Consider the following 25,942-nt stretch of genomic DNA (forward strand, 5'->3'; position numbering starts at 1 on the left):
AAACTAAAATCGTCTATCATTTTCACCTATCAAATCAACAAAAATTGAAAGACTGCAATATTTAATGCTGATAAAAGTAGAGTAGACCCTGAAAATATGTACATGTATTATATATCAATAAAAACAATTTAAAAATGTAGCAGGCACTAGGGTACACTGCAGGTAAAGTGAAAATTCATATCTGGTAATATACATCAATTTTCCTAGTGTTCACACCTGTTGACTCAGTAATTTTTACTTTTATTAAGGAAATATCTGAAATATTGAAAAGCATTATGCACAAAGATGGTTTCCAGCATGGCTTTTTTTCTTTTCAAGAGAAGAGTCTTGCTCTGTCACCCAAGCTGGAATGTGCAATAGCACAATCATAATTCACTGCAGCCTCAAACTCCTGAGCTCAAGCAATCCTCCCATCTCAATATCCCAAGTAGCTAGGGCTACAGGCACACTCCATTATGCCTCACCAATTTTTTTTCTAATTTCACAGAGACAAGGTCTTGCTATGTTGCCCAGGTTGGTCTTGAACTCCCGGGTCTAAACAATCTGCCTACCTTGGCCTCCCAAAGTGCTGGTTATTACACGCATGAGCCACCCTGCCTGGTCTCAGCATTCTTCTCAATAGCAAAACTGTTAACTTAAAAATCGAGTAAACAGCCGGGCGCGGTGGCTCACACCTGTCATCCCAGCACTTTGGGAGGCCAAGGTAGGCGGATCACGAGGTCAGGAGATCGAGACCATCCTGACTAACACGGTGAAACCCCATCTCTACTAAAAATGCAAAAAATCAGCTGGCTGTGGTGGCAGGTGCCTGTAGTCCCAGCTACTCGAGAGGCTAAGGCAGGAGAATGGTGTGAACCCAGGAGGCGGAGCTTGCAGTGAGCCGAGATCGCGCCACTGCACTCCAGCCTGGGCGACAGAGTGAGACTCTGTCTCATTTAAAAAAAAAAAAAAAAAAAAAGTGCATGTCTGTAATCCCTGCAACTCGAGAGGCTGAGGTGGGAGGATAGCCAGGAGTTCAAAGCCAGCCTAGGAAACACAGCAAGATCCTCATGTCAAAAAAAGAAAAAAAAAATCCAACAATAAGGAATGTGTTTTCAGTAAATTGTGGCACAGTCATATATCTAATACTATAAAGCCATTAAAGATGCCTTCAGAATGTTTTTTGAAATGTGACTATACTGGCCAGGTAGGGTGGCTCATGCCTGTAATCCCAGCAACTGGGTAAGCTGAGGCAGGAGGATAGCTTGAGCCCAGGAGTTGGAGGTTACAGTGAGCTATGATCATGCCATTGTACTCCAGCCTGAGCAACAGAGACTCTATCTCTAAAAAAAAAAAAGAAAGAAAGAAATGTTAATATATCAATATGTTAAAATAGGAAAAATAATACAAAGTTACATTTACAGTATGATTTGCAGCTATGCAAATGTGTATGTATATATATAAACACATATATGCCAACCTATGTGTACATAAATATGTACAAAAATATGTATACATATATAAACAAAAAATTCCTTCAAGGAAATTTATCGAAATACATCAATGAGTTAGAGTTATGAGTAAACTGTTATTCTTTTTTTTTCCCTGTATTTTCCATAATGATCACATATGGCTTTTCTAGAGAAGGGGGGCTTTTCTGTTTCTCAAGCAAAAAAGCCTTTTCTCTTCATCACACTGAAAGAGAAATGAATGAAGTACTGTGTTACTGCCTATCCAGATATACGGTATTTTACTGGTTGCTAAGCAGCAGATCCTGGTGTTTTTACATCATGCCTATCTCTAGTCACAGGCAGAAAGGACAGGAACTCAGGCACAAACTCACCCCATCCAAATGGCAGTGTATTTCCTCTTGGGAGTGGTCCAAAGAGCACACACAGCAACTTTAATTCTCTACTCAAACCACTCCCCATCTCTCACCTTAACATACCAAGCAGATTTTTTATATGGAACAGTATTCCTCACACAAGCTGCACGAAAGGGAAGACCTTTTTAATCCTCTACTATATGCCACCCACTCCATCTCTGAGAGATAATTCGCATTTAAGTATGTTCACCCACCAAGCTAGAAATCACCATCATTCTGGACATGTATCTGTCATCAACTGACACAGACAGGTAAGCCTTGCTGCTTTCTGAAAATAGCCAATCCTGCTCAGTGAATGACAGCATCAGCTAAGATTTCTTCTACTGCAGAGAATGGGTGGGTCCCCCCACTAATGCTGTAAATTCCAATACTCAGTGTCATTCCCTCCAAACAGCAGAATCTACAGTATGGAAATTCTTCCACAAGAAAAGCCCAATTCTTGTGGCCACAACCATTAAGAGAATCCTGAGCCAGGACATTCTCCCCAAGCTTCCCCTCCTGCTTCTTCACAGGAACCACAGCAGCCAAGTCCTATACTATGCCCGCCCCTGCTGCAGCAGCAGCCATTTTTGGCTCAGCCCTGCTGCAGTCCCAGATGAAAGCCAGGACGGCAAGGACAAGATGGCAAAGGACTTTTAAAATGGAAACTCTTAACAAAAATAACAATGAAGCAAGCATCATAAAAAATGTTGCAATAATATGCCATGTCATTTAAAATAAGGCTTTAAAAAAAGATGCCTATATTCAAGTACTTTAAACCATTTTTCATGGCGTCATGAAAAATTTGAGGGAACCTAATTCATCACAATGTGAGATCAGCACTATACTGACACTATGGGGAAAACAATGCTTAATGAGTTTAGTTTTCTACTCAACTAACAGTTAACAACAACTCCCTTGATTCCTGTGGAAAATCTAAACGCATTTCAAATTCCTCTTCACTCTCTTAAAATAATGTAATTTAATCTTTGCTGAATGAAGAGCTCACAGAGAATCAAATTTTAACTTGATTTCACTTTCCAAAATAGAAGTAGCTTTACTTTGCTAATTATAAAAATAACTGGCCGGGTGCGGTGGCTCAGGCCTGTAATCCCAGCACTTTGGGAGGCCGAGGCGGGTGGACCACCTGAGGTCGGGAGTTCGAGATCAGCCTGGCTAACATGGTGAAACCCCGTTTCTACTAAAAATACAAAATTAGCTGGGCATGGTGGCACATGCCTGTAATCCCAGCTACTCGGGAGGCTGAGGCAGAAGAATCGCTTAAACTCAGGAGGCAGAGGTTGCAGTGAGTCAGAATCATACCACTGCACTCCAGGCTGGGCAACAGAGTGAGACTCCGTCTCTAAATAAACAAATAAATAAAGTGATTAAACAAAATATCACTTACTACAGAAAAAAATCAAATGACCTAATCTCACCAGCAACCAGTAACCACATGAACACTGTTGCATAACCAAGCACCAAGCACTTTTTCCTAATGTATTTTTTAAATAAAATTTGAATATACATGCTACTTTTAACTGACTTCCACGGAGAAAATGTGCACTTTTTTATATCAGTAAATGTTTCCGCAACATTTTTAATGGTTATATAGTATTTCTTTCTTTTTTTTTTTTTTTTTTTTGAGATGGAGTCTCGCTTTGTCACCCAGGCTGGAGTGCAGTGGCACGATCTCGGCTCACTGCAAGCTCTGCCTCCCGGGTTCACGCCATTCTCCTGCCTCAGCCTCCCAAGTAGCTGGGGTTACAGGCGCCCGCCACCACACCTGGCTAATTTTTTGTATTTTTAGTACAGATAGGGTTTCACCGTGTTAGCCAGGATGGTCTTGATCTCCTGACCTCGTGATCCGCCCGCCTTGGCCTCACAAAGTGCTGGGATTACAGGCGTGAGCCACCATGCCCAGCTTTAATGGTTATATAGTATTTCAATACCTATATAGTCTGTAATTTGCCCAATGTCCTATCACTAGGCCTTCAGCATGTTTCAAAAGGTTTACTCATGTCATGAAAGATGACATGAGAACAATCAGAATCTTACTTGAATACCAACTTTCAAAGTATAATTCTATAAAAGCAAATTGTATTAAATAAAAAAAAAAACAGGGCTAATTTCAAGGTATTCCTTGAATATATGTTAAAAAAATCTCTTAGAATACTAACAAAATTTAATACAACAACAGTCCAGTTTCTGTTACATTACCTAGGGCCACAAGAAACTCCTAGGTCAAACTGTCTCACCCACTCCACTTGGAAAAAGAGATTCATCCTAATCCCTGTCTCACTCTAGATACTAGTTTAGTATAAAAGACAAGTTCAAACAAAAGAAGACAGTAACTAAGCCTAGGGAAAAAGTGAAACCAATTCCATGAGGTAAGACTGATCCAGGACTCTAATCAGACAATTCTGAGGTCTAGCTTCAGACTGGAGAATGGAGGGATTAAAAGGCTCAGAAGAAGTTCTAAAGACTCCCGGATCTATAACTGACAGGGAACCAAGCACCTAGAAAAAGCAGGCAAGCTCAGAAGTACACTATACATTCCATCACAGAAATTCCTTTGGGCCAGGCACAGTGGCTCACGCCTATAATCCCAAGACTTTGGGAGGCAAAGGCAGGTGGATTGCTTGAGCCTGGAAGGTCAGTGCTGCAGTGAGCCAAGATGATGCCACTGTACTCTGGCCTGGGCAACAGAGCGAGACCCTGTCTCTACAAAAAAAAAAAAAGCAAATAAAATTTTTAAAAAAATCTTTGGGTTCACAAATTTGAAAAGGCCAACTACTTTTTGTTACGTACTCCTTAGATGGAATCAAACTTGCTAACACTAAAAAAAAAAAACCAGAAAAATAAAACGCCCCCTTACAGGGCCTTCAACATGAAGCTTCTTTATAAAAGTAAAATCCATTTCCCTTCAACTCCCAGACTGTTTCCTAATGCAACTTCAATTACCTTTCCAGTCATTACAAGTCACAGTGAGCTGGTATCTACTACCATGACCCAGAGAGCTTCCCAAAATACTTTCCCTATGAGGTCATTGCGGTATTAGCTATTAATAACATTATTTTATGCCATATAATAAAATATATCAACATTTGGAAAATTTACATAACTTAATGAACAATTATCTTCAAATAACTGATGCATAATGGTATAATCTTCCAAATAACCAATGCATGATATTACAAAATCACACACAGGTAAAAGATCCATTCAAGCCAAGCACGATGTACACACTCTGTCATCCTAGCAACTCAAGATGCTGAGGCAGGAGGATGGCTTGAGGCCAGGAGTTCGAGGCTACAGTGAGCTGTGACTGTATCTGTGAATAGCCACTGCACTCCAGCCTGGGAAACAAAGGAATATGCTGTTTCCAAAATAATTTTTAAATAATCACAAAATGATTCCTAAATGCTCCAAAGTTCCCTCCTTTCTCAAATCTATTTTCTAATTAGATTAAGAAACTTTCAGGGACAATGGCCACTCTTCATTTTTACTTCTTCCCACAGTTCTCCTGAAGTGTATAGCAGACACTGATGTGTGCTGCCCCTAGTAGCTTTCGGCCACTTTCAGGATGTGTTATTTTTGAAGGGAAGCTAAAAAGTACTACATCTCAAAGACTACATCTCAAAGACTCTTAGACAGACAAAAGTCTTCACTCATCTAGAAGATTCTAACGGCATTCTGAATAGCACTATCATTCTTTTAACTATCTACTATGACAGCTACCACAGTAACATTTATTTTTAATAGCTGAGACCATTTGAGAAGGAGGTGAGTTAAAAGATTTCCATAATCCATTCTAACCCTCGCATTCTAAGATTCTGGTTCTCTTTATTCTCAAGTCCCAGCATTCAATAATGCTGGATACTATGGTTGTTTAGGGGCTTGAAGATGAGTCAGCAGGTACAGCAATTTGTGAGATGCAGCTTTTTTTTGTTTGTTTGTTTGTTTGAGACGGAGTCTCGCTCTTGTAGCCCAGGCTGCAGTGCAATGAATTGCACAATTTTGGCTCAGGGGAACCTCCGCCTCCCAGGTTCAAGTGATTCCCCTGCCACAGCCTCCTGAGTAGCTGGGATTATAGGTATGTGCCACCACACCCGACTAATTTTTCTATTTTTAGTAGAGACTGGATTTCACCATGTTGGCCAGGCTGGTCTCGAACTCCTGACTTCAGGTGATCCTCCCTCCTTGGCCTCCCAAAGTGCTGGGATTATAGGCGTGAGCCACCGAGACCGGCCAAGAAGCATTTCATTATACTTCAAACAACAGTGAAGCCAGCAAAAGATAGCTGCTGTGGTTTACATTGCTGAACATGCTGTTGGGTTTCACAGGCCAGTAAAAACTACCTATTGTCAGCAAGCCTCATTTTTCTTAGTTAAAGGTTAAGAAGCACCAGACTTAGCCAGCAGCTCCTAAAGCAGAGTGAACAATCTCTTTTCTCAAAGCAGAATTAGTATAAGTGCTTATCCACCAAAATCAGGGTTATTAGTTTAATGGAATTTGCTCATTTCTAAAGATGTCCTACTGGAAATAAGATAACGGAACATTCAAAAACCATTCTTCCCTAGGAATGTGCCTCTGGTTGCAATAAACAAACTCTCTATATAGATCACTAATGTTATACATGCTCAGACACAGGAAAAACTGCTTTCAATAACAACAAGAAAAGTAAGTCAAGGGCGTATTTTTTTTAATCACAAAATGCTATTAACTAAAGTACAGAGAAAGGAATAGAAAATATGCAGATACAGTATCAATCACTAACCTTTTTTGTGAGAGCCAGAAAGGCAAAACAACCTGCAACATTCTACGAAATTATCTATTTTTCTGGTTTTGAGTATTTTCAACTTAGTTTTCCTTCTGAGTCAAAAGTAGTTGAACTTTAAGAATCCTTCTGTCATAAGTAGCCTCCGCTCCAAATATATTTTTCAAAGTTTTGGTTTCCAGTGAAAGACTAAACTGAAAAACACTTCCTAACTGCTTTCTGGTTGCATATCCAACGGTTCATCTGAGCATTATACCCTGAACACAAATAGAAGTTCCTTTTTCATTCAAAGGCAGCCAATTTAACCTAACATTTCAAATTCTAGCTGAACTATTAATAAGGAGATGCAGATATATGCTATGTATCTATGCATCTATGTATCTCTCCATCTATATATCTCTTTAGCAGTATGATAAAAGATGTCCTACATTTTGATGAGCAGGTATTTTCACTATTGTCTCATTATTTGAGTATTGAAACAATATGCCTCAATTTTACTCACTTATAAACTATCTACTACAAACCTGTGACTAACCATAAACAAAGGCTGAAACTGAAACCAGAAATATATTTTTTAAATATATAGGCCAGCGGGGCACAGTGGCTCACGCCTGTAATCCCAGAACTTTGGGATGCTGAGGCGGGTGGATTACTTGAGGTCAGGAGTTCAAGACCAGCCTGGCCAACATAGAGAAACCCCATCTCCACTAAAAATACAAAACCTACCTAGGCATGGTGGCAGGTGCCTGTAATCTCAGCTACTTGGGAGGCTGAGGCAGGAGAATCGCTTGAACCCAGGAGGCGGAGGTTGCAGTGAGCCAAGATCGTGCCACTGCACTCCAGCCTGGGAGACAGTGCGAGACTCTGTCTCAAAAAAAAAAAAAAAAAAAAAAAAGAAAGAAAGAAATTATACATCAATCCACAATAATGAGGCAAAGACAAGCTAACTGAAACAGTTCCTTTTCTTCTGCTTAAAATTTATCAACTAAGGATAGTAATGGAGTTTATCATGCTCTGTTCAATTCCTGATTAGCATATTAAAATCTTTTATTGAAAACTCCAGGTTCAAATTAATGATTTCACAGTAACTACTGCCCAGAACCCCAACAGCAGCCTATTAGGGAGACAGCAAGTGATTTACATATTTTTGAAGTTTTAGTCAGGTACGGTGCCTCACACCTCTAATCTCAGCCACTTGGGAGGCTAATGCGGGAGAATTGCTTGAGCCCAGGAGTTGGGAGTTTGCAGTGAGCTATGACAGCGCCACTGCACTCCACCCTGGGTGAAAGAGTGAAACTCCATCTAAAAAATAAATAAATAAATATTTTGAGAAGTTTTTTTATTTCTAAAATATATGATTATAGAAAATAAGCAAAAGTATAAACTTAAATGTAACTCTCCAAACCAAAGCCCTTTAAGAACTAATTTTAGACTTGTAAAGAAACACACAAAAAGCCGGGTGCAGTGGCTCAGGCCTGTAATCCCAGCACTTTGAGACGCTGAGGCAGGAGGATCACTTGAGGTCAGGAGTTCAAGACTAGCCTGGCCAACATGGTGAAACCCCATCTCTACTAAAAATACAAAAATTAGCTGGGCGTGGTGGCACATGCCTATAGTCCCAGCTACTCGGGAGGCTGAGATGGGAGAATCGCTTGAACCCTGAGGGCAGAGGCTGCAGCGAGCTGAGATGGCGCCATTGCACTCCAGCCTGGGCAACAAGAGCGAAACTCTGTCTCAAAAAAAAAAAAAACAACAAAAAAAAACTCAAGAGCTTTCAATCAAAAACTAGCTATCAAGGATTAAATGTCACTTCCTCCAATTACATAAACAAAACTCAGTGGGAATCTATTCTGGATAGTTTAAAGGTTGTGCTGCGTTGATCCTCCTCTTTCCTCTCAGCAGCTTCTTTCTCTTTTCTGTAAGCTTCCTCATCTTCCTCAAGTAACCAGACACTGCATAGACTAATAATCTTTGCTTTTCTCTTCCCTCTCTCCATTATGCTTATATTATCACAGATTTGTTTTTCCAACCATTTCTGCTCATCTGACTTCCATCTCCCTATTTCCAAACATCTTCAGTTATCTCCATTTGTTTGTAAAATGAGTTGGATATTTCACTCATTTCAAATCCAACATGTCCTAAACTGAATTTATCTGTCCACTATCTCAAAACAACGTATAAAATTAAATCCTACATCTTTCTTACTCTATCAATGACAGCATCATTTTCTAGTCTCAAAACCCTGGAGTCAACTTTAACTCTTCTTTCAGAAATCAAAGATAGTCAAATCCCTATTTTTCTTCCTTTATGATAGCTTTCATGATATGATCACCCTTTCCTTTTCATTTCCCTCTAGACAGGATGTACCTCAGCAAAACCTTGGAAAACCTTGGAAAAATTAGGCCGGGCACAGTGGCTCTCATCTGTTAATCCCGCACTTTGGGAGGCTGGAGCCAGAGGATCGCTTGAGCCCAGGAGTTCAAGACCAGGCTAGGCAACATAGTGAAACCTCGTCTCTACAAAATATCAACCTGGGACCACCTGTGGTCCCTACTGCTTGGGAGGTTGAGGCAGAAGTACTGCGTGAGCCTGAGAGGTCGAGGCTGCAGTGAGCCATGATCGTACCACTGCACTCCAGCCTAGGCAACAAAGCAAGACCCTATCTCAAAAAATAATAATAAATGAATAATAAATTATACAGTTAGATATCCAAAGGTTCTCCAAAATTGTCAGATGCACATTTGCTGCTTTCTATTTTATCCCAGTGGATCTTCGGACTACCCCATATACACCATACACCATTTCCTAACCACTGACCACGACTCTGCCCATACCATTTCCCTCAACTGTAGATGTCCTTCCCCTCAACTTCAAGTCAGCCCAAATACTACTTCCTATTCCCCTAGTCCTCACTGACTTTCAAGGTTCTGATCTCGTACCTCCATTTGAGAGTACTGTTTTTTTCTTGTAGTTTTTTTTTGTTTGTTTTTTTTTAAGAGAAGATCTTGCTCTCTTTCTTACCCAGGCTGGAGTGCAGTGGTATGATCACAACTCACTGCAGCTTCAACCTCCTGGGCTAGAGTGACCCTCCTGCTCACCACTACACCTGGCTAATTTTTTTTTTGGTAGAGACAGGGTTTCCCTATGTTGCCCAGGTTGGTCTTCCTACTCCTAGGCTCAAGTGCTCCTTCTGTCTAGCCTCCCAAAGTGCTGGGATTACAGGTGTGAGCCACCACACCCAGCCTCAGGTTTCTTTTGTATATTCTTCAATAGACAGCACAGACATACAATGTTACTTAATAAATATTTGCTCCATTAATTATTGACTAAATAATTATTGTGCACCTGCTAAGAATCAGGTACTGTGGTTAGCTTAATCTGTAATATCAAAACAATAACATTTCTCTTTTTTCTCTTATTCTTTCTCAAGATTCCACTAGTCTTTCCTTCAGTTTACCATTACTAGTTGTCCTTTTTCACTCAGTTGAGCCTGCAGCTGAATAGCAGTTAAGCTACCTCATTAACGTGATTCTGAAATACAAGGGAATAATGACTTTTCTCTCAAAATATTCCAAGAAAAATCAGAAAGAATAATGAGCAGTAAGTTTCCGAAGGCTATTTGACCAACTGGAGGTTTCTCACAATTGTCCTTATCATGAACTAATTTCACACTGGTGCCCTTATGAACTGACCAAAGCCTTCAATGTCACTGAAAGCACTGAAAGCATGAGAAGACTTCCTTTCTGTGCCTAAACTCTCTCTTTAACAAATACATAGCTTTTTTTTTTTTTTTTTTTTTTTTGAGGCAAGATCTCACTCTGTCACCCAGGCTGGAGTGGAGTGGTGCGATCTCCACTCACTGCAGCCTCCACCTCACGGACTCAAGCAATCCACCCACCTCAGCCTCCTGAGTGGCTGGGACCAGAGGCACATACCACCATGCCCAGGTAATTTTTGTATTTTTGGTAGAGGCGAGGTTTTGCCATGTTGCCCAGGGGGGTTTCAAACTCCTAAGCTCAAGCAATCCACCCACCTTGGCCTCTCAAAGTGTTAGAATTACAGGTGTGAGCCAACACACCAAGCCAATATATAGTTAATTGAAGAAAAGGGGTTATTTTTAAAGTGCTTATGAACTGTAACTTATGATAACCAAATACTTATTTCAACTTAGCTCCTCCAACTAAAACAATTATTCTGACCTGGTACACAAGATTTAACACCACTAAAACACAACATAAACTAGGCACAGTGGCACACACTTGTAATCCCCCCTACTCAAGAAGCTGAGGCAGTAGAATTACCTGAGTTTGAGTCCAACGGTGAGTATACACACGTACATACATATACATACACACACACACTCTCTCTCTATATATATAGGTGTTCATCCATGGGTTCCACAAAGATAACTAGAGTACATTTTGGGCCTTTAATCCCATCTAAACAATTTGCTGTTAACGAAACTCAAAAACAGAAATACCTATATTTTCTCGCTAAATCCAATTGTTACCTATGATGAGTAAAGACACTAGATCTGCAGGTCCTAGTACAATCTATACATAAAAGGCCTTCAGATTTGAGGCACAAAAAAAAGGGCAAAAAAAGAAAAAAAAGAAAAAAAAACCTTCTACACATTTCCTTCTTTTATCTGCAATATAAGAAGGAATCCTTTCTAACTCTAATAACATATTAACAAGAATTAAGAACACGATTGTCGGGGAACTCAGATGTTGGCAAAGCTTAAAAATAAAAAAACAAGGGCTGGGTGCAGTGGCTCAGGCCTATAATCCCAACACTTTGGGAGGCCGAGGCAGGAGGATTGCTTAAGCCCAGGAGTTTGGGATCAGACTGGACAACAAAGTGAGACCCCTATCCCTATCTCTCCAAAAATTTTAAAAATTAGCTGGGCACAGTGGTGTGTGCCTGTAGTCCCAGCTACTTAGGAGGCTAAAATGGGAGGATCCCTTGAGTCCAGGAGTTTGAGATTGCAGTGAGCTATGATCAAACTTCACTTCAGCCTGGGTGACAGAGCAAGGGTTTAAAAAAAAAAAAAAGAAAAAAAAAGGCTGGCGCGGTGGCTCACGCCTGTAATCCCAGCACTTTGGGAGGCCGAAGCGGGCTGATCACCTGAGGTCAGGAGTTCGAGACAAGACTGGCCAACATGGCGAAACCTCGTCTCTACTAAAAATACAAAAAAAATTAGCCAAGCGTGGTGGCGCACGCCTGTAATTCCAACTGCTTGGGAGGCTAAGGCAGGAGAATTGTTTGAACCCATGAGGTGGAGGCTGCAGTGAGCCAGGTATGGTGGCTCATGCCTGTAATCCTAGCACTCTGGGAGGCCAAGGCTGGAAGATCAACTGAGGCTGGGAGTTTGAGACCAGCCTGGGCAACACAGTAAGACTATCTCTACAAAAAACTGAAAAATTATCCAGATGCCAGGTGCGGTGGCTTACACCTGTAATCCCAGCACTTTGGGAGGCCAAGCGGGTGGATCATCTGAGGTCAGGAGTTCAAGACCAGCCTGGGCAACATGGTGAAACCCCGTCTATACAAAAATACAAAAAGTTAGCCAGGCATGATGGCAGGTGCCTGTAATCCCAGCTACTCAGGAGGCTGTGTTCAAGCTAATCGCTTGAACCTGGGAGGCAGAGGTTGCAGTGAGCCGAAATTGTGCTATTGCACTCCAGCTTGGGCAGCAAGAGCGAAACTCCATCTCAAAAAAAAAAAAAAAAGATAATGGCTTCTTGAAAGAACACAGAAATCAACCTGAAGGAATTCCTGATGGCCAAAGCTAGAACAATCTGAGTAAGAAAACAAACAATGATAGTTACTGGATTTTAACCCATAAAATAAAATATATACCCATGAGTCCATAGTGATATGAATAATAAACAAATGGAGGAAAGAAAGCTTTTCCTCATAGAATTATAATCAATAAATGTAGAAGGAAAGAGTGAAATAGAAAGTCACAATTGGGCAACCACAAAAGCAATAAATGTTGCAGACAAGCTCCATCAGTTGCTAAAATTGAGAACCAAAGTTTGAGAAGATTCTAACATTGTTTGCAAACTCATCAAATATCTCCCACAAGATACTTATCAACTACAAAAGGAAAGAGAATAACTCCACAATAGAAAGACCAGCAAGATGCCAACTTAACCAAGTAGTCAAGGTAATCATCATCATACTGACATCATGAATCTCCTGATATGGGGCAATGAGAAGGAATGCATAACCTCGCCCCATTCATGAGAAAACATCAAACAAATCCAAAACGAGGGACACCCTATAAACAATGGATCAGCAATCTTCAAAAGTGTCAAAGTCACAAAAGATAAGGAAAGTCACAGGAATCGTTACAAACCATAAGAGAATAAAGAGAAATAACTAAATGCAATTAGAATCCTGAAACAGAAAAAGGACATCAGGGGTCTCTCCTTCCAGCACAGTACGAGGGCAGAGTAGGACGTGTAGTGCTGGGAGTCATGGCAGGAAAAGCATTTAGAAAGTTTCTTAGGCCTGTAATCCCAACATTTTGGGAGGCAAAGGTGGGTGGATCACTTGAGGTCGGGAGTTCGTGACCAGCCTGACCAACATGGTGAAACCCCGTCTCTAATAAAAATACAAAAATTAGCCAGAAGCAGTAGTGCACACCTATAATCCCAGCTACTTAGGAGGCTGAGGCAGGAGAATCACTTGAACCCGGGAGGCAGAGGCTGCAGTGAGCACACATCGCACCACTGCACTCCAGCTTGGGCAAGAGAGAGAGACTCCATCTCATAAAGAAGTTTCTTCCTCTTTGACTGAGCGTTGGTTGAAAAACAAGTGCCAGCCTGGCACAATGGCTCATGCCTGTAATCCCAGCACTTTGGGAGGCCGAGGCGGGTGGATCACCTCAGGTCAGGAGTTCAAGACCAGCCTGGCCAACATGACAAAACCCCACCTCTACTAAAAATACAAAATTAGCAGGGCGTGGTGGCGCATGCCTGTAATCCCAGCTACTCAGGAGGCTGAGGCTTGAGAATCGCTTGAACCTGGGAGGCGGAGGTTGCAGTGAGCCGAGATCGCACCATTGCACTCCAGCCTGGGCAACAAGAGCAAAATTCCATCTCAAAAAAAAAGAAAAGAAAAAGAAAAACAAGTGCCACTGAAATCGTAACCAAAGGAAGCATTATCCTTTCAGAAAAATCTCAAAGAAAAGTATGGCAAGCAACAGCAGTAGCTGCTGGGTCAGGCTCTGAACGAAAGGGTAGAGAGAGATTCAACCAGTCAGTGTAAAAGTTGGAGATAGGCCGTGCGCCGTGGCTCATGCGCCAGTGTAATCCCAGCATTTTGGGAGGCCGAGGCGGGTGGATCACCTGAGGTCAGGAGTTCGAGACCAGCCTAATCAACATGGTGCAACCCCGTCTCTACTAAAAATACAAAAATTAGCCAAGCATGGTGGCGAGTGCCTGTAATCCCAGCTACTCAGGAGGCTGAGGCAGGAGAATCACTTGAACCCGGGAGGTGGAGGTTGCAGTGAGCCGAGATCGCACCATTGCACTGCAGCCTGGCCAACAACAACGAAACTCTGTCTCAAAAAAAAAAAAAAAGTTGGAGATAAAGTTCTTCCAGAATATAGAGGTGCCAAAGCAGCTCTACATGACAAGGATTATTCATTTAGAGATGGTGACACTCTTGGAAAGTATGTAAACTGAAATAAATCACTATTGAAATGGCATCAACGTGAAGCTGCCCGTTCCACTAAAGTTCTGAAATCATTCATCATGTAAATAATTTCCATGTCTGTCTTTTATAATAAACTAATGATATCTAAACTAATCCAAAGCAGGCAGAATCACCAGAGGTCAGGAGTTCGAGCCCAGCCCGGCCAACATGGAGAAACCCCGTCTCTACTAAAAATACAAATTGGCCAGGTGTGGTGGTGGGTACCTGTAATCCCAGTTACTCCAGAGGCTGAAGCAGGAGAATCATTTGAACCCAGGAGGTGGACGTTGCAGTGAACTGAGATCACACCACAGCACTCCAGCCTGGGCAACAGAGCAAGACATCATCTTAAAAAAAAAAAAAAAAGGTGGGACACAGTGGCTCACACCTGTAATCCCAGCACTTTGGGAGGCCGAGGCGGGTGGATCACTTGAGGAGTTCAAGACCAGCCTGGCCAACATGCCGAAACCCTGTCTTTACTAAAAATACAAAAACTTAGCTGAGTGTGGTGGTGCACACCTGTAATGCCAGCTACTCTGTAGGCTGAGGAAGGACAGGAGAATTGCTTGAACCTGGGAGGCAGAGGTTGCAGTGAGCCAAGATGGTGCCATTGCACTCCAGCCTGGGGGACAGAGCGAGACTCCATCTCCAAAAAAAAATAAATAAATAAAAAGATTCCTAATTGTCTAAGCTATGTAATGGTTACCAGGTGGGGGTATCCATATAATTTACTATCCAAACCAGGACCATTACAGGAGAAACAGGATCTATTAGTAGGTCACTGGTCAGTGTTGTTAAAGACCTCAAATAAATTTGAGTTGGCATGAACTTTATGGTTAGGCAAGTTGCCCTAACCTCCCCTCAGCCTCTAGAACAAAGGTAGGAGAGGGGGCAGAAAGCTGAACCAGAAAAATCCCCAAACTCCTTTCCAGCTTAGAAAAATCACTGGCTCATGGTGGCACCTTTCAAAGACACTTCTTTTTAAATTTACTGTCTACTATGTGTAAAGGAAAAATAAGCTAATGCATACTTATGTTTGGATCCTTTAACTATGATTTTTCTAATGAAGATCAAGAATGAAATCAATGACATTCCAGAGCCACACTCAGCTTTCATTGCCTTACCTAAAATGTACCACATTTAAATACACTCACTCAGTCACACAATATAAAAGGTAATAAGCTAAGGTCAAGTGCTCTGTAGTCTGCTTTTGAAACAGCATTTATTCCAGGAAGTTGGACTACTTTCAAACTCTAATATTTCTGAAAAAGATCAACAATGTAACACAGGGAGTATCAGCTGACTACATTAGCCTCAAAGATTCAACAATTATTAATTAGGTACTTGATGCCATTAAAATTATACATGGACTAATTAAGACCCACTTCCTTTGAATATTGAGTAAGAGCTAAGCTGGAGACATGCATAATAATTTAAAACTTAAAGCAGATACAATCTTACAAAATCAGCAACTCCACTCATTCCCACTTCCCAATGTTAAGCAACTGAAGAGTTTTTTTGTGGAAAGTCTTTATCCAAAACAAATAAACTGTTTTTATTACACCTAAGGGTAACAAAATAACCTCTTCTTTAATGTGGTCTTTTCCTAAATAGCAAAAAGAATCCTGCTAAACAAGAGATTAAGCAGTATTTCCCAATTTTGTTTTTTGTTTGTTTTGTTTTGTTTTTTTGAGACAGGGTCTGGCTCTGTAGCCCAGGCTGGAGTACAGTGGCGTGATCTCAGCTCACCGTAGCCTCCGCCACCTGAGTTCAAGCGATTCTCCTGCCTCAGCCTCCCAAGTAGCTGGGATTACAAGCACGTGCCACCACACCTGGCTAATTTTTGTATTTTTTTAGTAGAGACAGGGTTTCTCCATGTCGGCCAGGCTGGTCTCGTACTCCTGACCTTAGGTGATCTGCCCGCCTCAGCCTCCCGAAGTGCTGGGATTACAAGTGTGAGCCACTGTGCCCAGCTCCAATTTTGTTTCTTTATAATAACATATACATTAGAATAGCCTGGGAGTATAACCTCATATCAATCAACAACCAATTTTAACCTGACAGAACTAACACTATGCAAAATCCAAAAACCTAAGAATTTGTAACTCATAATTTCAATTATTCACAGGACAGCAAAACAGTCAAATGCTTATACTCTATTTTTTACAAAACTACCACTGCCTAATAGTAATTTATCTTAATAATAAAAGCAGACAACACTTGTTTTCCGGGCATAAAAAAGGATAGAAATGGTCAAAGTTCGTTTATCCAATAGGCCTTATTTTATAAATAGCACACCTCACTAAATCTCAAGCACTTAATGGATTATATAACCTTAACGCACAAGGCTGGGCGGGGTGGCTGATGTCTGTAATTCCAACACTTTGGGAAGCCAAGGCAGGAGAATCACTTGAGCTCAGGAGTTTGAGACACGAGTGGGCAACACAGTGAGACTCTGTCTCTACCGAAAATAAAAAACTAGGCAGGAGTGGTGGCTCGCACCTATAATCCCGCATTTTGGAAGGCAAAGGTAGGCAGATCACTTGAGCCCAGGAGTTGGAGACCAGCCTGGGCAACATGGTGAAATCCCGTCTCTACAAAAAATACAAAAAGTAGCTGGGTGTAGTGGCGCACACATGCAGTTAGTCCCAGTTACTTGGGAAGCTTAGGTGGGAGGGCTCCTTGAGCTCAGGAGTTCGAGGCTGCAGTGAGATCTGATTATGCCATTACACTCCAGCCTGGGTGACAGAGACAGACCTCAAGAAAATGAAAAGATAAGCCACTAAATGAGAGAAAATACTTGCAACTCCTGTATCTGTTAAACAACTTATATTCAGAATATATAAAGAACTCTTACAACTCAACAATAAAAAGACATATGACCCAATTAACAACTGGGCAAAGGATATATATAGATAATTCTCCGTAACTGACAAATGGCCAAATGCACACAAACATGGCCAAATACACACAAAAACATGCTCAACTCCATTAGCCATCAGGGAAACGCAAATCAAAACCACAATGAGATACCACTTTACACCCAATAGGATGGCCTATAATCAAAAAGACAAATAATGACAGGTGTTGGCAAGGATGCAGAAAAACTGAAATCCTCATACATTGTTGGCAGGAACATAAAATGGTGTAACCACTTTGGAAAACATTTTGGCAGCTCCTCCAAATGTTAAACATGGAGTTACCTCATATAACCCAGCAACTATACCCCAAGGTATATACTCAAGAGAAATTACAACATAACATCTATATAAAAACATCCATGAACGGTCACAGCAACATCATTCAGAGCCAGAAATTTTATCCAACCTTTTGGCTATTCATTATCCAAAGGCCAAAAAGTTGAAACAACCCAAATGTCCATGGTACATGGAATATTACTCAATAATTTTAAAAATGAAGTGCTAATACATGGTTACAACACAGACGAACCCTGAAAACATTATGCTGAAACAAATCACACACAAAAAATACATTAGTCCATTTACGTAAAAAGTTCAAAATAGGCAGATATATAGAGGCAGAAAATAGACTTGGACTTGCCTAGGGCAGGGAGAATTGGGGGAAAATGGGGAGTCATGGGGAGTCAAACAGGTTCCTTTGGGGAGTGACAAAAATATTCTAAAATTATGGTAGTAGTTGTACAATTCTCAACTGGTTTTGAATATACCCAAAACCACTGAATTATACACTCTAAATGGGTGACTCATACGGTATGTGGATTACATCTCAATAAAGCTGTTTTTTAAAAAAGTAATGGTTTCACACAGCTGAAGTCTAACTTCCTCTTATTTATTCAAAATGCTCTAGAATCTGGATCCATTATCTTGAATATTCTACCATGAGAATCCTCCATTCCAAGCACACAGATCCAAATCCTTAGAACACAGCATACACTACACTTGCTTCAGGCCCAAATCTTTGTTCATATTGATCACCCACTCATCATAATCCACCCACCTCTGCCTATCTAAACCCTGACTATAGTCTTAAACTCTTTTTTTTCCTTTTAAAAATTCATACTTCCATGCCAGGCTCAATGGCTCATACCTGTAATCCCGGCACTTTGGTAGGCCAAAGCGAGAGGATCCCTTGAGCCCAGGAGTTTGAGATCAGCCTGGGCAACAAACTGAGATCTCTAAAAAAAAAAAAAAAATTAAAAAATTAGCCAGGCATAGCGGAGTGTGTCTGTGGTCCCAGTTACACAAGAGGCTGAGGCAGGAGGACTGCTTGAGCCCAGCAGGTCAAGGCTACTGTGAGCCATAATTATGCCACTACACTCCAGCCTGAAAGACACAGCCAGACCCCATCTCGAAAAAATGAATAAGCTGGGCGCAGTGGCTCACGCCTGTAATCCCAACACTTTTAGAGGCTGAGAGGGGCAGATCACTTAAGGTCAGGAGTCCGAGGCCAGCCTGGCCTATTATGGTGAAACCCCATCTCTACTAAAAATACAAAAATTGCCCCAATGTGGTGGCGTGCACCTGTAATCCCCAGCTACTCGGGAGGCTGAGGCATGAGAATTGCTTGAACCTAGGAGGCAGAAGTTGCAGTGAGCTGAGATGGAGATCGCACCACTGTACTCCAGCTTGGGTGACAGAGCAAGACTGTCTCAAAAAAATAAATAAATAAAATAAATAAATGAATTAAGGGTTTTTTTTGTTTGTTTTGGGGGGTTTTTTTGAGACAGGGTCTCACTCTGTCACCCAGGCTGGAGTGCAGCAGTGCAATCATGGCTCACTGCAGCCTTAACCTCCTAGGCTCAAGCAATCCTCCCACCTTAGCCTCCCAAGTAGCTGGGACTACAGGCACGTGCAACCGCGCCTGGCTAATTTTTGTATTTTCTGTAAAGACGGGGTTTTGTCATGTCATCCAGGATGGTCTCAAACTCCTGAACTCAAGCAATCCACCCACCTTGGGCTCCTGAAGTGCTGGGATTACAGGCCATGAGTCACTGCACCTGGCCAAGTTCTCCGACCAAGTTCTATTTCTTACATACTAATTACTAGGACCTAGAAAAAAGGTCAGGAATCATCTCATTTAACCTTCAAGGTTCAGTCCTTTCCATTCTCAATGTAAAAATAGTATTCTGGTTTAAAACTGGCTGTGTTCATTTTCTATTCCCACTTAATTTTCTCTCCTTATTCCAAAATTATGTTTGTTCCCACACTTCAATCCTCTTTCCCTCATCCCGCATGAATCCCTGTGGTCTTTTCCTCCTTCCTTCAATCACTCCTCATGATACTAACACTTCCTGAAAACCAACTAAATGCCAGACGCGATGGCTCACGCCTGTAATCCCAGCACTTTGGGAAGCTGAGGCAGATGGATCACCTGAGATGAAGAGTTCGAGACCAGCCTGGCCAATATATAAATACACTAGGTGCAGTGGCTCACGTCTGTAATCCCAGTACTTTGGAAGGCCAAGGTCAGGAGTTCAAGACCAGCCAGGCCAATATGGTGAAACCCTGCCTCAACTAAAAATACAAAAATTAGCCAGGCGTGGTGCCGGGTGCCTGTAATCCCAGCTACTCAGGAGGCTGAGGCAGGGGAACCGCTTGAACCCGGGAGGTGGAGGTTGCAATGAGCCAAGATCACAACACTGCAATCCAGCCTGGGCAACAGAGTGAGACTCCGTCACAAAGAAAAAAAAAATTAGGACTCTGGCTCCCAGCCTTTTTTAAAAACTTAGTATACTTGAACATATAAAGATGAACTTAAAGAGATAATAAAGAAATGTAAATAATTGTATGGGAAAAAAACTTGTGATGTTACACTGAGTTTTAATCTTGCAAATAATGCAAAACATTACAGGAACAATAACTCAAAAGATGTTTGACTTACTGATAAAGGTTTGAACATTCCCCTTTGTAATGTGCAGTCATAACTTCTAAGCTAAAAGCCAAAGGTGAAAAAATATTCCCAAGAAAAGCATTCCAAATAAACAAAAAGTTCACTTATATTTCAAGTAGATACAGAATAAAACTATTCAAGAAGTATCTCTTGGCTGGGTGTGGTGGCTCACGCCTGTAATCCCAACACTTTGGGAGGCTGAGGTGGGCAGATCACTTGAGGTCAGGAGTTTGAGACCAGCCTGGCCAACATGGTGAAACCCCGTCTCTACTAAAAATACAAAAAATTAGCCGGTCGTGGTGGAGGGCACCTGTAATCCCAGCTACTCAGGAGGCTGAGGCAGGAGAATTGCTTGACCCGGGAGGCCAAGGTTGCAGTGAGCTGAGATCGTGCCACTGCACTCCAGCCTGGGTGACAGAGCGAGGCTCCGTCTCAATTTTTTAAAAAAAAAAAGTATCTCTTTTTATTTTTGGGGGACAGTCTTGCCCTTTCACCCAGGCTGGTGTGCAATCACACAATCAGGTCTCACTACAGCCTTGACCTCCCGGGCTCAAGCAATCCTCCGGCCTCAGCCTCCTGAGTAGCAGGGACTACAGGCATGCACTGCCACTCCTGGCAAACTATTTTTTAATTTTTATTAGAGATGGGGTCTCACTATGTTGCCCAGGCTGGTCTCAAATTCCTAGACTCAAGTGATCCTCCTGCCCCAGCCTCCCAAAGTACTGGGATTACAGGCATGAACCACCACACCTGGCCAAAAAAAGTACTTTTCATGGCAGATACTTAGGTAGCAAATTAAGCAAGATACAAAACTAGGTACATAATCTGACTTTATGTTACAAAAATGTATGACCACTAATATTAAAATCCACAGAAAAAAAAAAATCAGGACAGAAATACACCAAAATGTTAAAAGTGGTTATCACAGCTACACACTGGGACACATGCCTGTAATCCCAGAACTTTGGGAGGCCAAGGTGAGCAGGTGGCTTGAGCCCAAGAGTTCGAGACCAGCCTGGGTAACATGGCAAAACCCCATCTCTACAAAAAAATTAGCTAGGTGTGGTGGCACACACCTGTGGTCCGAGCTCCTTGGGAGGCTGAGGTGGGAGGATTGCTTGAGCCCAGGAGGTCAAGGCTGTAGTGAGCCATGACCATGCCCTGGGAGGTAGAGTAAGACCCCACCTCTTTAAAAAAGTGGCAAGGCGCGGTGGCTCACACCTGTAATCCCAGCACCTTGGGAGGCCGAGGTGGGCAGATCACCTGAAGTCAAGAGTTCGAGACCAGCCTGGCCAACATGGTGAAACCCCACCTCTACCCAAAATACAAAAATTAGCTGCGTATAATGGCATGCACCTGTAATCCCAGCTACTTGGGAGGCTGAGGCAGAATTGTTTGAACCCGGGAGGCAGAGGTTGCAGTGACCCAAGATTGTGCCACTGCACTCCAGCCTGGGAAACAGGGCAACACTCTCTCCCCCCAAAAAAATAAATAAATAAAATAAAATAAAATAAAAGGGGTTGTCTCCACTAATAAGATTATGAGTGATTTTTTACTTTTCTATATTTTTCCAAATTTCTCATTTAATTATGTCTTGCTCTTATAATCATAAGTTTTTAATAATAATATTTGACTACAGATGTTGTTCCTCTTTGGCCTTCATACCAACCCTAATCCTCAGTATCAATATGTACTTCAAATACAACTCAGGCACTTCAGATGGCTTTGTAAACTGGGTCAATGCTATTCCATCTGAAAGGAAATTACAGAATTATTTTCAATTCAATTATACATCCCTGCAAAATAATTTGAGGGCAGCTTTGAATGCTGTAAGTGAGTTGTGATGCCATCTATATTAATCCTAAAACTTATCTTCAAATTGATTCCCAAAGTCCAACACACTTTTTATTTAATAAATATTTACAGGCCAGGCACGGTGGCTCAAGCCTGTAATCCCAGCACTTTGGGAGGCCAAGGCAGGCGGATCACAAGATCAGGAGATTGAGAACATCTTGACCAACATGGTGAAACCCCGCCTCTACTAAAAATACAAAAATTAGCCAGGCGTGGTGGTGCACGCCTGTAGTCCCAGCTACTCTAGAGGCTGAGGCAGGAGAATCACTTGAATCCAGGAGGCGGAGGTTGAAGTGAACTGAGATTGTGCCACTAGCACTCCAGCCAGGGCGACAAGAGTGAAACTCCATCTCAAAAATAAATAAATAAACAAACAAACAAACAAACAAACAAATAAATTTACAGACTGCCTACTGTCTGTCAAGCAGTATTCTAGGTGCTAGCAATTCCACAGTGAACAAAATAAACAAAAATCTCTGCCTTCATGGAGTTTACATTCTATTAACAAAATTCAATGTCTTATAAAGTCAGGCAGCACACAGTGGGCTCAAAAAAGTACACAACAGGCCAGGTGTGGTGGCTCATGCCTGTAATCCCAGCACTTTGGGAGGCTGAGATGGGTGGATCACTTGAGGTCAGGAGTTCGAGAACAGCCTGGCCAACATGGTAAAACCCCACCTGTACCCCACATACAAAAATTAGATGGGTGTGATGGCGCGCACCTGTAATCCCAGCTACTCAGGAAGCTAAGGCAGGAGAATCACTTGAACCCAGGAGGTGGAGGATGCAGTGAGCCGAGACTGCGCCACTGCACTCCAGCCTGGGCGACAGAGACTCTGTCTCAAAAAAAAGTACAAAACAATTATTAGTTAATAAAGATCATGGTAGAGCATAGTAGCTAACACCCGTAATCCCAGCACTTGGGGAGGTCAAGGTGGATGGATCATTTGAAGTCAGGAGTTCAAGAGCAGCCTGGCCAACATGGCAAAATCCATCTCTACTAAAAATACAAAAATTAGCTAGGTGTGGTGGTACACACCTGTAATCCCAGCTACTTGGGAGGCTGAGGCATGAGAATCACTTGAACCCAGGAAGCAGAGGTTGCAGTGAGCCAAGATCACACTCCAGCCTGGGTGACAGAGCAAGTCCCTGTCTAAAAAAATAAATTAAAAAAAAAAAAAGTCGTAAAAACCAACAAATTTCAAATGCACTTAAAATAGTTTAACTTTCTCAAATTTCAGCTGAGCTACAGGAGATTGAAAAATTCCTTTGGTTGGCAGCAAGCCAAAGAACTGGAAGCCATTTGAGAATTCAGAAGTCGCTTGGGATCCTGCAATATCTCATCCGTGTAAGTCTCAGCTGCAGTTTATCCATTGCTTAAAGTCATATGCGTGGCTAATAATCAGGAACTAGTTACTTTCCTATTATATTAGCTCAAAGTATTATTCCTTAGGTAAAAATAGATTGTGTCTCACCACAGCACCACGGGAGTTTATTCCAGAACTTACTTTCCCTCATATCTCATAATGAACTAACTGTATCATCACCCAGAACAAGCCAGCAAATGACCATGGCAACCTTATTTTATGGTCTCCCACTATCTCACAACTAACTATACAGTCTTCACCACTGAAGTTAGAGAGGTGCTTCTGTCTCTGTGGCTGAATCTAACATTAACAAGCCAAAAACCAGAAGTAGCTTATATGAGCAAACTGCTGCTTTGCCTCTGCCTCTGCCCCATGTTAGTATCTTCTAATATCAATAAGCCACCACAGAACATGTCACTTACCATCAGACAAAGAAAACATTAACTGGTTTCTGTAAATCCCTCCTCTCCACTTGCAAGAATAACACAAATCTCAAAAGACAATCATAAGCAATTATAATTCAAGAAGGTCACTGAATAAATGAGTCTAGACCCTACATTTCAGAGAAGGGATAACCAATGCCTGAAGCAGTTGCATGGTTAGTCTAAGATAAGATATCTACTACAATGAAAGAGCCAAACTCAAAACCAGATTTTTTGCCTCCAAATCAGGTACACTTCTCAATACACCAAGGTAAATCTACTTCTATTTTAAGACTAGCAAGTACTGTTTCTAAGCCAAAGTCTAGTATTAAAAGGGCAAGGATATTACGAGATGCACTGGGAAGGAGACCAGGAAAAGACCCACCACAGATCAGATCAGGTATGTATCTCCTTCTCATACACTAATTCCTTAGATTATGATACAGAAAATACTTTGAATTTTTAGCTTGTGTTTGACTGTCACTTTCTCTGGTACCTCCTCTAGCAAAAAAAAAAAAAAAAAAAAGCCTGAAACGTGACTGAAATCCATTTATTAAAATTCTATGGAGCAGCAATGGAATTGGAAAAAGCAGGCCGGCAGAAGAGAAAGCTATGTAAACCTGGGTTAATTCTTACTCATTCTTCTAATTTAGCTGAGATGTCAACTTCTTTTAGAAAGCCTTAATTCCTCCTTCCCCAGACTACTCTCACAGCAGAGTTATCAGTTATCACTGTACTTGCCTCATGACGTTTTGTTTACCCACCTCTAACCAAAAGGACCAAGTTCTTTGAGGGCAAAGATTTCTACCTTAGCTCTTCAATCCTACATCTAGCACTGAGTGTAGCAGCACACAGTGGATGCTGAATTAATGAATTCATAAACTTGCCACATCTATTGAAGCCTCAATATAAATGGCAAAATGTGGCAATCCTATTTATTTATTTATTTATTTATTGAGATGGAGTCTCGCTGTCACCCAGGTTGGAGTGCAGTAGAGCGATCTCGGCTCACTGCAATCTCCGCCTCGCGGGTTCACGCCATTCTCCTGCCTCAGCCTACCAAGTAGCTGGGACTACAGGCGCCTGCCACCACGCCTGGCTAATTTTATGTATTTTTAGTAGAGACGGGGTTTCACCGTGTTAGCCAGGATGGTCTCGATCTCCTGATCTCATGATCTGCCCACCTCGGCCTCCCAAAGTGCTGGGATTACAGGAATCCTCTCCATTGACTTAAGATGTGGTTCTCGGCCGGGTGCAGTGGCTCACGCCTGTAATCCCAGCACTTTGGGAGGTAGAAGCAGGCGGATCACAAGGTCAGGAGATCAAGACCATCCTGGCCAACACAGTGAAACCCCGTCTCTACTAAAATACAAAAAATTAGCCAGGCATGGTGGCGCACACCTGTAGTCCCAACTACTCAGGAGGCTGAGGTAGGGGAATCGTTTGAACCCAAGAGGCGGAGGTTGCAGTGAGCCAAGATCATGCCACTATACTCCAGCCTGGCAACAGAGCGAGACTCAATCTCAAAAAAAAAAAAAAAAAAAAAAAAAAAAGACGTGGGTTCCAAACATTTTCTAGAAGACCTTTGATTTTGTTTTTTTTGAGGTGGAGTCTCACTCTGTAACCCAGGCTGGAGCGCAGTGGTGCAGTCTCGGCTCATTGCAACTTCTGCCTCGTGGGTTCAAGCGATTCTCCTGCCTTGGCCTCCTGAGTAGCTGAAATTACAGGCAGGCGCCACCACGCCCGGCTAATTTTTGTACTTTTAGTAGAGACCAGGTTTCACCAGATCAGGGCCAGGTGCGGTGGCTCAATGCCTGTAATCCCAGCACTTTGGGAGGCTGAGGCAGGCGGATCACCTGAAGCCAGGAGTTCGAGACCAGCCTGGTCAACATGGTGAAACCCAGTCTGATCACGCCTTACAAAAAATTACCTGGACCTGGTGGCACACGCCTGTAATCCCAGCTACTCAGGAGGCTGAGGCATGAGAATGGCTGGAATCCAGCCGGCGTAGGTTGCAGTGAGCCGAGATTACACCACTGCACTCCAGCCTGGGCGACAAAGCAAGACTCTGTCTCAAAAATAAATAAATAAAACTGTC

At 42.0% G+C, this 25,942-nt stretch overlaps 1 protein-coding gene and 1 pseudogene across 30 annotated transcripts in view; one reads left to right on the forward strand and one right to left on the reverse strand.

Moving 5' to 3' along the window:
- The window catches only part of EIF4G3 (eukaryotic translation initiation factor 4 gamma 3), a 370,606-nt gene that overhangs the window by 341,477 nt on the left and 3,187 nt on the right, over positions 1–25,942 (reverse strand). Inside the window, exon 1 of one of the 30 annotated variants that reach the window (NM_001198803.2) lies at positions 20,193–20,271. The exons of the other annotated variants lie outside the window; for them this stretch is intronic. The gene's annotated coding sequence lies outside the window, so the exon portion shown is untranslated. Of the gene's footprint in view, positions 1–20,192; positions 20,272–25,942 lie in introns of those variants that run through there. 30 annotated transcript variants of the gene reach the window in all.
- On the forward strand, positions 13,707–14,313 carry HSPE1P27 (heat shock protein family E (Hsp10) member 1 pseudogene 27; annotated as a pseudogene).

This window comes from Homo sapiens, chromosome 1, assembly GCF_000001405.40.
Source record: "Homo sapiens chromosome 1, GRCh38.p14 Primary Assembly".
Lineage (NCBI taxonomy): Eukaryota > Metazoa > Chordata > Mammalia > Primates > Hominidae > Homo > Homo sapiens.